The 15906-nt window shown below is 46.5% G+C and overlaps 1 annotated feature.

The window, feature by feature from the left end:
* Window positions 1064–2263: an enhancer, noted in NCBI's record as "CDK7 strongly-dependent group 2 enhancer chr12:110108888-110110087 (GRCh37/hg19 assembly coordinates)". NCBI's record gives its function as "activates an origin of replication core promoter dependent on BRD2, BRD4, P300/CBP, MED14 and CDK7 cofactors, with strong dependence on CDK7, by STARR-seq in HCT116 cells {active_cell/tissue: HCT116}" and the evidence as "EXISTENCE:reporter gene assay evidence [ECO:0000049][PMID:35650434]".

The following is a 15906-nucleotide window of genomic DNA, read 5'->3' on the forward strand; positions in this document are numbered from 1 at the left end:
ATAATAGCTGGCATGTATTCAGTCCATGCCTGGTTTAAGCCTCATAGAACTTCTGTAAGGCGATTGAGGTGACCCTCTTTTTATTTCAGATAAGAAACCTGGGGCTCAGAGAGGCAGAATGTCTCTTCCAATTAGCAGGCCTGCCTGGCTTCAAAGCTCCTGCCCTCCCTACTCTGCTACCCAGCATTCTGTGACTCCCATAATCCTCCCAAAACCTCCAAGGGTGCTTTTATGCCCACTTCACAGGTGCAGAAACAGAGGTCCAGAGAGGCAAAGTCACTTGCCCAAAGACCCACAAGAGCTGAGCTGGCCCTCAGCCCGGTTCCATCTGATCTCCAGTCCTGGGGCTTCCCCTCACCTGTGGCCTCCCTGAGCAAGAACCTGAAGGAGACAGAGTGTGGTACACAGGCTCATTTCTGGTTCAGGGGACAGTGTGTGCGGTAGCAGGAGAAGCCTCCAGGCCCATCGTAGAAAGGCATAGCCCCCCGCCTCTCTTTCTCTGCAGCCTGGGGAAAATCTCACTTCCTATAGGGGCTGCTGCTCTAGCCAATTAATCTCCACATTTCTCCTTCTAAATGTAAATGGCAGGTGAGTGGGATGTTATGGGTTTTGGAAAAATAAAAAGCAACACAAAAGTAATTTGTGTTCAATTTGCGTGCAGCTCTTGACAAAAGCCCCAAAGAGACAAGGACTCCCCAGCCCTAAGTTCCATTCTGGGCCTCCACCTTGGAGGGTGGGGAGGGCTCAGTGAGGAATGAACGGGTTCTTCACATCTCACGACTTCTGGGAAGGACAGCCTCCCCCGCCCAGCGCCCCACCCTCCTTCTCCTCCCCTCACCTCTCCTTTGTCTCTCTCCCTCCCTAACCTCTCCTCCCTTTCCCAGCTCTCTGCTTCTCTCTCTCCCCAACCCCCAGAACTCCGCTGGTGCACTGCACCGAGAGGCAATTTATAAAGCAGATGTTTACTGCAAGGTTTTACATGAGCTTGGTGCCTCGCCAAACGTTATAGTAATTGGAGGCTGCGTTTAATTACTGATCAACGTAAAGTTAGGAAGAGACAGGCTTGGAAAATGCCTCTGGTCTAGACTTTCCTCTCTGCCTCCAAGAAGGCAAGAGCTCCTGAGCCGAGGCCTGAGTAGCAGCAAGAATTAGTAAAACAGGCTTGCGAGTAGCTACTGGCCCACTGGGCTCTAGGAAATGGCACTGGGGAGAAGAGACCAGATTTTGCTATAACCATTCCTCTTCTTGCTAGTTCATTATTGATGCCTTCTTTGTGCCAGAACTGTGTTGGGCACTGGGGTCACAGGGATTAATGAATTTCTCCCAATGCCTGGGCCAGGTGATTTACATACATTATTGTTCAACATAAGACAGGTATGCTAGCCAGGCTCTAAGTCCAGAAGTGATAGCTTGTGACTTCCAAGGCTAAGTCATTACAGACACCGCAGCCTCTGTCTTGTTCTCTTAGATCATTTGCTCCAGGGGAAGCCAGCCACCATATCATGAGGACACTCAGGCAGCCCTGTGGGGAGATCCACGTGGGGATGAACTGAGGAGCCACCTTGAGGATTGGATCCCCCAGCTCAGTCAAGCCTTCAGATGGCTGCAGTCCTGGCCGACATCATAACTGCAACTTCACGAGGGATACCAAACAAAAGCCATCCAGCTATGCCACTCCCAGGTTCCTGACTCACAGAAACTATGAATGCTAAATATTTATTGTGTTAACTCACTGCATTTTAGAATAATAGGTAACTAATACAATAGCCATGGAAAAGAAGGAAATACAAGGAAGCCTGATAAGTAGGAAACACAAATAAATATGGCAAGAAAGAGTCCAGCCATATAGTTATGTAATTATTTAATAGATATATACATATAAAAGATAGATTGAGGCAAGGTGCAGTGGCTCATACCTGTAATCCCGACAGTTTGACAGGCCAAGGCAAGAGGATCAGTTGAGGCCAGGAGTTCAAGACCAGCCTGGGCAATATAGCAAGACCCCATCTCTACTAAAAATAAATTGTTAAAAAAGATAGATAGATAGAGATAAATATGGTCATAGATATATATGAATGTAGATATGGATACAGATATTTTGATATATTGATATATATTTTATATATGATATTATAACAATATAATCACAATAAATGTGAATGAGTTAAATTCATCAATTAAAAAATATTATTTCATTCTTTCCTCACAATAACCCCAGGAGATAAACATTATTATATCCACTTTACAGGTGAAAAAATTGAGGCTCAGAATGGGAAAGAAACTTGCCCAAGGTCTCCGAACTCAAAAATGGTAAGGTTGTGATTCAAACCCGGGTCCTTCTGAATACAAAGCCCGGAGACTCTAATACCACACTGTCTTGCTATTTCCTTGTGATAGAAGAGGAAACTGAGACTCAGAAAGGGTGAGTGACTTGCTTAGGGTCACATCTCAAGGCATTGCAAAGCTGGAGTCAGAGCCAGGCACCTCACTCATTGTCTGGTGTCTGCCCAGTGACCTTTGGAGCTCTGCCATCAATGCACAAGCATCTCAGGGGTCTTCTGTCTTTGTAGCTGTTTAAGATGGCTGGGGACCCTTGACTGTGGTCAGAGAGATGCTGTAGAGTCAGATGGTGGGGCCTCCTCAGGGGAGGACACCAGCACAAAGCAACGTGCAGGAGTGCAGGGTGGGGGTGGCTCGATGCATTGAGCTGAACTCCGGTAATTACATCAAGGCCAGAAGCATAATTTGTATCTGGGTGATGAATGTCTGTGTTTTCGGGCCTGATTGCCCTATTTACATTTGGAATTTGCTGATCTATTATTAATGTTTCCTGGAGGCCAGGGTGACGGGTATGTGCAGCTGGGGAGCCACCTTCCCCCCGATCCAGGGAATATTAGTTCTTAGGCTCTAGCTACTCCAAGCACCATTTACCTGCTCCTTGTGTAACCCTGACCTTCATGGGGCTCTCTTGGACCAAATGGCATGGGGCTACCTGAGATGAGATTTCCCAACCTCTTACAGACCTGTGCATGCACACTCAGATGTACGTATGTGGCAGGCACGGTAATTGCATACTCACACACTCACACCTATGTATATACATACCTACCTCCTTATCTACCCTTACGCACCCTCACACAAACATGCACCTACATGAAATGCATATGCATGTGCATGCAAACTCATGTGTACATGTGCACACACATACAGCATGCACACACACCATCACATGCACCGACCATGTTGAGAACAACACAGCAGCTTGCCATGGTCTCCCAGCCAGAGTGGTGATGGTCAAGTCCATGAACCATGGGCCCAGATGGTTAGCATTTGAATCCCAACTCTGCCACTTACCAGCTGTGTGATCTTAAGCAAGTTACTTCACCTCTTTGTGCTCTGTTTCCCTCTATGTAAAATGAGGATGATAACCTTATTCATCTCATAAGATTGTTGTGAGGAAGTAGTGAGCTAATGAAACACCCTTGCCTAATGCGTGGTAAGCACTGGATATGTATTTGCAATGTCGTTATTAATTTTATTGCTTATGTTCCTGAAACATAGTAGACTCTGAGTCATTTTGTTGAAGGGATGGTTAAACACACCCTTCCAAGTTCAGGTACACAGTCCCACTGTCCCTTCCCCAACATTTCTGCTTCTTCATTTCTTCAACCCCTCCTGAGGTCAAGCTCCACAGCCTCTTCTGAAGCCCCTCCTGTCTGTTCACCCCTCTGTGTCTACCTCAAGGCTTCAGACCAGACGGAACTATAGAAAGAGCACTGGAGTTGGAGTCCCCAGACTAAGAATCAGACCATGGCTCTGCCACTTGCCAGCAGCATGACCCTGGCCCTGCAGTTCTAAGACTCAGTTTCATGATCTAGGCCATGGGGTAATGATAGAAATTACCTTAAGAAACAACCACCAATGGATGGCTACTGGTGGAGGGATGGATAGGCAGTGTAGGGATGAGCATGTATATTCCCTGGCCAGGCTGGGCCCTGCTGGGGGCTGTTTGTGGAGGGGAGTGACTACACTGTCATGCAAATGAGTATGCAAATTATATGCTCACATGTGCATGGGCACCCACATCCTTATAGGGGCACCTTCACACAGACATGTGCCTACAAGGGAATGCATGTGTGAATATGCAAACACACATGATGCAGCCACACCGGAAGTGCCAGGACTTGGAGGAGATGGTGCTATGTGACCTTGCCTGAGTCTCCATACCTCTCTGAGCCTCCATTTTCTTTGTTTGTTAAATACGATGAGCTGCACCTGGCCCATGTTTAATTGTGTTGAGGACTGAATAGACAATGACCGGTAATTCTGATCATGGTGCTTAGTATACAGTAAGCACTTAATACGTGGCAGCTATGATGAGCTTCTTCATTTGCGAAGTCTCAGGCTGGAAGGAGTGCTCTCTGAGACCCCCACCAACTCCAAGGTCCTGTGAGTCTGTGGTTTTCGTCCCCCAATCCCTTAGAGTTTGTCAGCCATCTAGACTGGAGGGCCCTTGTGTAGTTTCCAGAAACTGGCTCCCAAAAGTTGATTCTGCCATTCTTTTCCTATGCTGGAATCTCTGGCCTGTGGCAACTCTAAGAGTTATGCTGGTGGACCCAGTGACAGATGAGGAAACTGAGGCCCTGGGTGAGGCAAGAGTCACCAAGGCCAGCCCAGAGCTGGAGGTGGGACGGACATTGGAACCTAGACTACTGGTTACCCCGGGCTGGGCTTCTGCAGGCAGCACTTTTTTTTTTTTGAGACAGAGTCTCACTCTGTCACCCACGCTGGAGTGCAGTGGCGCGATCTCGGCTCACTGCATCCTCTGCCTCCTGGGTTCAAGCGATTCTCCTGCCTCAGCCTCCTGAGTAGCTGGAACTACAGGTGCATGCGACCACGCCCAGCTTTTTTTTTTTTTTTTTTTTTTTTTTGTATTTTTAGTAGAGATGGGGTTTCACCATGTTGGCCAAGATGGTCTTAATCTCCTGACCTCAGGTGATCCACCTGCCTCAGCTTCCCAAAGTGCTGGGATTACAAGCACAAGCCACTGCACCTGGCCTGCAGCCAGCATTTTTGCAGCCTTCTCTGTGCAGAGAAGAAGCTGGGCGTGTTGGCTTAGTCTGAGTGTCCTACTTCAAGATGTGACCCATCTCAGGGTCACCAAGCCCTAAGCAGTGCTCCCCACCACACACACAGACACAAATCAAATACATTGTACGTGAAGACCCCATAACAGGAATAGGCACTACCCTGTGTTGAGTACTCACTACATAGAAGCACTTCCCACCTGTTTCATCTCATCCTCATGTGTAGGAACCTGAGGCAAGGAACGCGTTCAAGGACACACAGGTCAGAAATAACAGAGTTGGAACTTGAACCTGGGTCCTCTTGACTCCAGAGTCTCTGCCTTTAACTTTGATGCTCCAATGTCTCCCCAGTGAAGTCAAGCAGAGAAAATGGGTTTGCAAACTGCAACAGGCAGGGCCGACCTGGGATCAGAGGCCTTGATTGCTCCTGGGTTTGGGGGGTGGGGGAGTAGGAAGAGGTGCCTGGCCTAGAGGCTGCAGTAGCAAGAACCACCCACTGCGCCCTCCAGAAAGGGGCCCCCGTTTTCTTGTGATGCCAGGGAAGGTCGGGCAGTGAGCACATTAAATAAGGCCATAAATTTGTCATGAAGACTGGAAATGAACAGGGCTTATCATTTATGGATGGAATAATTAAGCCACTGCTTTTGGTGGCTTTGCCGAGGGCTGTGCCTGGACTCCAGGCATCGCCAGCAACCAAGTCAGGGACCCCTTGGGGGATTTCACTGTCATCCCCCGAAACCCCAGCATCTCACACCAGACACTGAGGAGACTCCACCAGCGGCCAGAACAGCCACCTACTCAGTCAGTACAGACCTCCCGGGCTGCATGAGGTCATAAAAACCCTGACCAATCCCAGGGAGACCCCTCTCTCAAACTCTGCCCATGGAGGGGTTGCCCACCTCCTTAGATAGACGTGGTGGACCTGGCTTCCTAGAACAAAAAGAGGCCCCTGGTATGGTAGAAAGTGTGAAGCATTTAGACCACCCTGGGTTCAAATCTTGGCTCTCTCATGCTCCAGCTGTGTGCCTCTGGGCCAGTCACTTCACCTCTCTGAGCCACCTCTCAAAAATGGGCAAAATAGACCAGGCACAGTGGCCCATGCATGTAATCATTGTATTTGGGGAGGAGGTAGGATTGCTCTAGGCCAAGCGTTTGAGTCCAACCTGGACAACACAGTGAGACTTCATCTCTACAAAAAACATTTAAAAAGTAGCCGGTGTGGTGGTGCACACCTATAGTCCCAGCTACTCTGGAGGCTGAGGCAGTAGGATTGCTTGAGCCCAGGAGTTCCAGGTTACAGTGAGCTATGATTGCACCGCTGCACTCCAGCCTGGCAGACAGAGTGAGACCCTGTCTCTGAAAAAAAAAAAAAAAAAAAAAAAAAAAAAAGAGGCAAAATAGTGTTTAGTGTTGTATGAGTTATGTGGAGGATCGAGTTAAATCATAGCTATGAAGTGCCTAGTGAGGATCAGGCATCTTGTAAGTGCTCTACAAATCCAGCATGTCATTTCTTTCACCCAACAGAGTTCTCAGGCAGGACTAGAAGGCTCAGAGAGGCAAGGAGACTCAAATGAGGAAACACAGCAAGTGAGCAAAAAGTGGTGCCTACTTCCTTCCCCTGGAGTTCCCTGTCATCTATCATGCATGGTAGAGGGCTCAGCTCATTCCCCAAGAAAAGACTGAGTTCCAGTCCCCTCCCTGCTCCCAGCTACGGCAGGTCCGTGGAGGAGAAAGGGAGGTCATTGTACAGGTGATTGTAGCCACTAATATTTCCAGAGCTCTTGCAGTGGGGTAAGAGCTATCCTAGGTGCTCTGCACTTGTGATTTCATTTTATTCTCCAAACAACACTTTGAAGTGGGAACCATTATCATCCCCATTTTAGAGGTGAAGAAATGGAACTCACACCCAGATCCTTGACCTGAGTCACTTAGCCAAGATGTGGAATTTGTGTGTGATTTCCTGGGTCCCAGCAATGTCAGGCTTGGGGGAGCATAGCAAATTAAGACTATTTGGATTCTGCCGGCACATTCCAGATTTCCAGCTTTGCTATTCCATGTTCTTGAGTGGGTTCAAGCCCTTTTTTTACAGATTGGGAGACTGAGGTCCAGCCATTGAGGCAGAGCCTTAGAGCTTGCCCACTAGTTCTCCAGGGCCTGTCCCATCAGTGGCAGACACCAAGGCTGATGCAATCAGAGAGGCCTCTGCCACCTGCCTTGGGGAAAGGTCTGGACCCTCCTTGCATCCCCACCCCACCCACTCTCCATCACTATGGCAACCATGCAGGTGAGCCTCATCACTGCTAATCCTCTAATTACCAGCCACCTCTTCAATCGGCTGTAATTACTTTGGGGACACAGTTAACCTCTCATTAGGAACGCACGGCCGCTTTCTCCAAAAGCACAGCAGTGACATGCCTAGTAATTTACCGCCCCGGCTCGCAGGGCCGCTTTGTATTTAACTCGGGCGCCATTGCATCCCTGTCATTACTCCAGCCCGGTTGTCATGACGATTAATCATTCAATCCCTCATCAGCAACTTTTGCCAAATGTCACCCTGCTCTTGATCAAAATCCATCCTGCAGCCCGACACTGGGGGACTAATGACTTGGAAATAGGCTTCCCCATTCCTGAGAGCTTTTCCCCAAGACTCCTTTTCAGCTCCTTCCAGGAAAGGGAAAGAAAAATGTGAGCTCAGTGTGAAGGGGGGTGAAGGGGGTGGTGAGGGTGGCAGAAAAATTAGCAGGTGTTGAGTGCTTACTCTGTGCTAGGCACCTGAGGGACATCCATGCACCCAACCCTAATGGCAACACATTTCCTAGAAGGGAAAGTTGAGGCTCAGGGAAGCTGAGTGGCTTGCCAACAAGGAAGTATAGAGAGAGTCTTCCTTAGATCTCTCTGATTCCCAAGCTGGGCTGTTTTGACCAGACCTCAAGAATCTTGACTATCACCAATTATCAAGGATCCTGGAATGCCAGAGTTTGGGACAGCCCAGTTTAATGGGCCAGAAATTAGCTGGCCCATAAAATCCAGGGCAAAAAGCATTAGAGACAAACCTGGGAACTTTATGATAAGGAGCCCAATCCAGGATGAACAGATAACTGTCGTGAATACCTATGTCCCAAACAACATGGCAGCAACATCTGGCAAACAGCAACCTCAGAATCCAGATGAAGAAATAGGCTGAAACATATTGGTAATAATGCCATAAAATTATCTAGACTAAGATTCTTGACCTGGGGTCCTTGGAGCTTCATGATGGACTTTGGTGGCCCATGAGCCCCCTGAGAATCACGCTACATTTTGATTGGATGTATGTGCATTTTTCTAGGAAGATGCTACAGAAAATGGTAAGAACTGCTCTAGCACATTTCTCTCATCTTTCCCCGTATCCCTATTTTATAGAAGGGAATACTGAGGCCCAGGTAGGGGCCATGGCTTGTGCAAAGTTCCACAGCAATTCAGGGTGGAAACCCCAGGTCCAAGCAGGGATGAACTCTTTCTCAGATGCCTAGAGCAGCCAAGTAGGGCTGGGCAGGCTGTGCAGTGCACAACCCCAGGGGCCTTCATGAAGACATTGATGTGCATGACACTCTCCTCGATGGGTTCTGCTAGATCAAGGGGAAGAATTTTTTCTCCTTCACAGTGGCTGCCAGCCCCCCAGGTCCGCAGACTTCTAAGGAAGACCAGCCCCCAGTCCTGCTAAAGGAATCTTTCCTAGGCCCCTCCCAGGGAACGTTCCTGCTGGCTGGGCCGCCAGCATGTGTGAGACATAATTACAGCACGTTGTAAATGGCATTAACAGACTGTCACAGCAGCCACATGGTATTAGCAAATGGCTCTGTCTTCATCAGGCAGTCCCCGCAGCCCCCGGGATAGAGCACTTCCCAAGGGGTCTTCTTCCAGGTCCAGGCTGCATAAGCCTCCTGGTGGGGGACTAGGGGTGGGGGCAATGATTCAACTAACAGAGACCTGGCGGTTCTCCAAGGCTTTCTGAGGTCTCAGCAAAAAGCTGAGTAAAAAGTTAGGAAATCTGATTTGTAAACCTAGTTCAGCAGCAAACTTTCTGTGGGGGACAAACTAACCTTTATCAGGCAGCTACTTATGTGCCAGGTGTTCTAGAATGTAATCTTATTTAAACCTCATAACAACAGCTAAACAATTATATTCACCTTGCTTTACTGAGGCTCAGAGGGGAAAGGTCGCTTGTCCAAGTCCCTTCAGCTAATAAGTGGCAGGTGTAGGATTCAAACCAAGGTTTGATGCCTTCAGAACCTGGGCTTTTCCATATATCATGTGGCTTCTTTGGAAAATTCTTTGATCCGTTTTCTGACAATAGAATCTATAGCCTTGAGGGTAATTGTCTAAAGCTGCCAGCCCACTGGAAAGTCACCAGCCCCTGAGCTCTACTTAATGGGGCTTCCATGGGAGCAACATAGTAACAATATGGTAATAATTGAGATAATAACAATTGTTAAATGTTTCCATACAGTTTATCCTATGATTCTTTGTAACAAACCTATGAAGAAAAAGGAACAAGTAGTCCTATTTGAGAGAGTTGAATACTAAGGTCCAGAGGGGGAAAGGAACTTCCTCAAAGCTCCACAGTAAGTCTGTGGTGGAGCCAGGATGAATTCCCCTTGTGTCCTAATTCTCAGTCCTGTTGTTTTCCCACAAGCCACTGAGAAAGGTGTCCATAGGGCTGCGTCTGGAGACTGAGCAGGAGAGCATTCATTCTTCCGGGTGCTTCCTGCCCTCCCACCTGCCCAGTGGGCACCAGTGATTTATGCTTTATCTGGGAGGCCTCCAGGCTGCAGGCAGCAGGATAGGCTGCTTCCCGACTGGTAAGCAAATCCCCCGCTGAGCAGGTCATATTTTATCCGGGCCACCACCTGCCAGCTCATTTGCTTACGGATACAGGTGCTTCATCAGGAAGGAATTAACGATTACTTAGCCCAGAGACCCCGGCAGATAGAGAGCAAGCCTGGGCCACAGCTGGGGTGGGAAACCAGGAACCTGTCTGTGAGGTCTCTATCTCCTCCCAGACCCTTAGCCTGATCTGGAACCAAAGGATAAGTAGGAGTCAAGGATAGAAGGAGGGGCCAGGTGCAGTTGCTTGCTCACACCTGTAATCTTAGCACTTTGGGAGACCAAGGTGGGAGGATCCCTTGACCCCAGGAGTTTGAGATCAGCCTGGACAACATGGCAAACCCCATCTCTACTAAAAATACAAAAATAGTTGGGTATGGTGGCGCACACCTGTGATCCCAGCTACTCGGGAGGCTGAGGCTCAAACCCAGGAGGTGGAGATTGCAGTGAGCTGAGACTATACCACTGTACTCCAGCTTGGGAGACAGAGCAAGACTCTGTCTGAAAAAAAAAAAAGAAATAAAAAAAGGATAGAAGGAGAAACCTACCTGCTTTGGAGGAAGCTGATCCCCTGCTCCCAACCCCATCCACATTCTACCAGTTCTTCAGAGTTTGGTGCCAATAACCCCATTCTTGGCAGCCTTCCAAGATCTTCTGCTTACCTTACCAAAAATAATACTATAGTAAATTGAACAGTCCCAGATTGTTTATTGGTGCCTAGTACTTTATAAACATTGCCTCATTTAATCCAGACCAACAAATACGAGGCATTTTTAAATTCCTATTTTACATATAAGGAAATTGAAGCTCAGATTAAGCAACTTGTCCAAGGTCACACAATGAGTAAAGGGCAGGGCCTACGCTTCTCTGATTTCAGATCTCCATTCTAAGCAGGATGTACTGCCCCACCCAGCCTGTTCCCTGAACCCCAGACTTTTCTTTTTCAGTGCTTTATTTACTTGCTCATTTATTTATTTATTTATTTTTGAGACAGGGTCTCATTCTGTCACCCAGGCTGGAATGCAGTGGTGCAATCATAGTCCACTGCACCCTCAACCTCCTGGGCTCAAGTGAGCCTCCCACCTCAGCTTCTCAAGTAGCTGGGACTGCAGGTGCGCCACACCCGGCTAATTTTTATTTTTATATTTTTTTGTAGAGCCAGAGGTTTCACTATGTTGCCCAGGCTGGTCTCAAACAATCATCCTGCCTCAGCTTCTTAGAGTGCTGGGATTTATAATCGTGAGCCACCACATCGGGCCTATTTACTTATTTTTAATATAATTTTTAAATTTCGGATCCACAGAAAAGTTTTTCTTTATTTTAGAAACATTATATTTTGCATTTACAGAAAAATTACAGATGGTTCAGAGATAGTACAGAGTTCCCATATACTCCACACCATTTCTCCTATTATTAACGTCTTATGTGAAGATGGTACATTTGTCACAGTTAATGAACCGATATTGATACACTATTATTAACCAAGTCCAAACTTTATTTAGATTTCCTTAGTTTTTACCTAATATCCTTTTCCTGTACCACGATCCTATGCAGGATACCACAGTACATTTAATAGTCACTTTTTCTTCAGCTCTTGTTATGTGGGTCTGTTTCTTGAACTTTGTTTTGATGACCTTTAGGATTCTACAGAGTACTAGTCACATAATTTGTACAATGTACCTCAGTTGGAATTTGTCTGATGTTTTTCTCGAATTAGACCACGGTTATCTGTTTTAGGAGGAAGACCGCAGAGGTAAGTTGCCATTCTCATCACATCAAAGTACATATTATCAACATGACCTGGCCAGGTGTGGTGGCTCACGCCTATAATCCCAGCACTTTGGGAGGCCAAGGTGGGTGGATCAGGAGTTCAAGACCAGCCTGGCCAACATAGGGAAACCCCATCTCTACTAAAAATACAAAAATTAGCCGGACGTGGTGGCACACACCTGTAATCCCAGCTACTCAGGAGGCTGAGGCACGAGAATTGCTTGGACGCGGGAGGCAGAGGTTACAGTGAGCCAAGACCATACCACTGCACTCTAGCCTGCGTGACAAGAGTGATCCCCTGCTCCCAACCCCATCCAAATTCTACCAGTTCTTCAGAGTTTAGTGCCAATAACCCCATTCCCGGCAGCCTTCCAAGATCAAAAAAAAAAAAAAAAAAAAACCAAACATGACCTATCACTGTTGATCTTAACCTTTATCATGAGGCTGAGCTAGTGTTTGTCAGTCTTCTCCACTGTCACATTACTCTGGAGAGCAGTGGCATGATCACAACTCACGGCAGCCTCAACCTCCCGGGCTCAAGCAATCCCCCCACCTCAGCCTCGCAAAGTGGCTGAGATTACAAGTATAAGCCTGTAATGTTACTTTTGTGTTTCCTCCTTTCCATATTGCACTCTTTAGAAGGAAGTCACTAAATGCATCCCAAACTTAAGGAGTGGGAAGTTACGCTGCACCTCCTTGAGGGCAGAGTATTTACATAAATTATTCAGAATTATTCTACAAAGAAGATTTGTATGTTCTCTTGTTTGTTTATTCAATCATTTATTTTTATTAGTGTGGACTCATGGATATTTGTTTTATACTTTGAGTCATGATCCAGTACCACTGTGTGCTTTTTAAATGATACTTGGCTCTTTCTTCCTTGGTTCACCAGTAATTGCCAAAAATCCGTTCTAAGGCAATCTTATTCCATGGCATTTTAATAGGCAATCCCCTCAAAATAGATTTTGGAGGCAAGTCATTTGAGTAATGGTGGAAAAGGATTGGAAAGAGATCTTGACTGCATTGACTGGTCAGATTTTCTTTTTTTTTTTTTTTTTTTGAAGCTAGAATCTTGCTCTGTTGCCCAGGCTGGAGTGCTGTTGTGCAATCAGAGCTCACTGCAGCATTGACCTCCCAGGCTCAAGGAATCCTCCTGCCTCAGCTCTCAAGTAGCTAAGACTACAGGCATGCACCACCATCCCCAGCTAGTTGTTTTTTGTTTTGTTTTGTTTTTGTTTTTCAGAGATGAGCGGGTGGTCTTGTTGGTCTTGAACTCCTGGCCCCAATTGATCATCCAGTCTTGGCCTCCCAAAGAGCTGAAATTATAGGTGTGAGCCACCATGCCTGGCCCAAATCTTTTAATGGGCCAATAATGTGAGTAGTGAATCACTTAGAGGAAGGTCTAATAGGCAACATTTCCCTCATTTTTTTTTCCTGGAACCCTGTTCTGGGGGCAGGGGAGGAGGGACAGGTAAAGGACGCATAGGAGAAAATCATCAAACCAGGAGCTCTTAAGAGCAAAGATTATGTTTTATCCTCCTCTTCCTCTCCAGAAATTAGTACCGAGAAGGTGCCAAGGAAAAGCAGTTAGATAGGTGGAAGGATAGATAGATGGATGGAAGGGTGAGTGAAAGGGTGAATGGATGGATGGATGGATGGATGGATGGATGGATGGATGGATGGATGGATGGGTAAGTGGATGGTTATGTAAATGGCTAGATAGAAACATGGAAAGATGAACAGACAGAAGGATTTGTGGTTGATAGATGGATGGATGAATGGGTGAGTTGGTAGGTGGATGAATGGATAAATAGTTGGGTTGGTAGGTGGATGAATGGATAAATAGTTGGGTTGGTGGTGAATGAATGGATGGATAAATGAGTTGATAGGTGGATGGGTGGATACATAGATGGGTTGGCAGGTAGATAAATGGATGGATGGATGGACAGACAGAAGGATGGATGGATGAATTGGTAGATTGGAAGGTGAATGGGTTGGTAGATGTTGACTTCCAGGTTTTTGTTGTTGTTGTTGTTTTGAGATGGAGTCTTGCTCTGTCACTCAGAATGGAATGTAGTTGTGTGATCTCGGCTTACTGCAACCTCCATCTTCCAGGTTCAAGCAATTCTCCTACCTCAGCCTCCTGAGTAGCTGGGACTACAGGTGTACATCTGGCTACAGGTGTAGCCAGACTACAGGTCTGGCTCATTTTTATATTTTTAGTACAGACGGGGTTTTGCCATGTTGGCCAGGCTGGTCTCGAACTCCTGACCTCAGGTGATCTGCCCGCCTCGGCCTCCCAAAGTGCTGGGGTTACAGGCATGAGCCACTGTGCCTGGCCTCTGACTTCTTGTTTTGATACTTTTCTTTTTTAGTAGAAAGACTATCCCCCACTTCTGTTACCCACAAGTTTCCAGAGTTAGGGCTCGAGATAATTGGTCACTGCTGACAGAGGCAGTGAAAATAGTGACCATTTATTATACCCTAACTCATGCCAGGCACTTTGCATGCTCCTTCATCCTCACAACAGTCTATGTGGTAGGTATTATTATTTCTCCCCATTATTCAAAGGAAGAAACTGAAGACCAGAGAAGTCAAGAAACTTGGACAAAGTCCCCCAGCAGGAAAAAGTGATGGAGCTGGAATTGTCGCTGAGATCTAAGTCTCTTTACTCCCTGGATTCCCCACAATGGCCCTAGGTCTCTAGGCTTATCATCACTTCTCATCCCTTTGCTGGGCCCCACCAGGTCAGTGGGAAGATGACAAAGATCTTCAGTGACCTGGAGAAGAGAGAGGCAACATTACAAGACTTGCTATATCTTTTCATCCAGCACCAGGCTGCAGAATGGTCCCAGCTGAGATAGAACAGAGTCCCTGGAAACAAAGCACCAAGGGGTCTTCAGACCACATGCACGTGTGTATGTATGCATACATTTAAAGATCTATAGAGGTTTTTTCTTTTTTTTCTGTTTTTCTTTCTTTCTTTCTTTCTTTCTTTCTTTCTTTCTTTCTTTCTTTCTTTCTCTCTTTTTTTTTTTTTTTGAGACGGAGTCTTTCTCTGTTGCCCAGGTTGGGGTGTAGTTGCACGATCTCAGCTCACTGCAACCTCCACCTCCCAGGCTCAAGCAGTTCTCGTGCCTCAGCCTCCTGAGTAGCTGGGATTTACAGGCATGCACTACCAGGCCCGGCTAATTTTGTATTTTTAGTAGAGTAATTTTGTATATTTAGTTTCAACATGTTGGCCAGGCTGGTCTCAAACTCCTGACCTCAAGTGATCTGCCCACCTCGGCTTCCCAAAGTTCTGGGATTACAGGCATGAGCCACCGCACCCAGTTTATAGTGTTTTATATAGCTACCTGTGTTGCTTCCAAAAATATGATTTGAAGTAGTTGACATTTTAAAAATCCCTGCCTAGTTATGCCATTAAAATTAGAAATAAAATACAAGAGAGTTAAGTATAAAGAGAGTTGGGAGCAGAGAGGTATCCAGGCTCTCACATCAGAGGGAGTGAGGTAGGGAAAAGGCCTATACTATTAGATGCGGGAATGGGGAATATGCACAAAAAAGACTCTATTCTCTGACCGCCCTGTCTCTGCTTTTCATAGTCTTGCAAGGTCCTCATATTCCCTTAAAATTGTTTAAAAGCCACATTAAAAAAAAAGAATGTTTTTTCCTATCAGTATAGAAAGAGACAAATTACATCAGAAAATCTAGGTTAAGGCAATAATGGCAATTGAAGTCTAAACCTGGTCCTGAGCTTCCTAGCAGCCGTGGCAAAAAGGCAAATGGGTTTGTTTTCTTAGTTCTCACGGGCTTCCAAAATCAATGTTTAAGGAAAGTATAATAAAGTCTAGGTTTTCCAGAGAGAGAGACTTTTCTCCATGCTGAATCCTGAGAGGGGTATGTCCCCTGGGCCATTGGAGCCTCCATGTGACATAGAATGACCCTGAATAACATCATGGTTCAGTTTCTTTATCGCTGTTTTGCATTCTACATGTGGTTCCTTCTCATGTCAACCCTCAGCAACCACCAAGGGCTCCATCAGTTTGTGGCTTTTAAACAATTTGTGGCTTTTAAACAATGGGTAAGCAGTTCTCCTGGGGAAGGAATAATTTGATCTGACTTGATCCAGGGACCAAGCTTGGATCATCTGGAGGGTGGAGGATGAGTGTCTTCGGGCGGC

This window comes from Homo sapiens, chromosome 12, assembly GCF_000001405.40.
Source record: "Homo sapiens chromosome 12, GRCh38.p14 Primary Assembly".
Classification (NCBI taxonomy): Eukaryota; Metazoa; Chordata; class Mammalia; order Primates; family Hominidae; genus Homo; species Homo sapiens.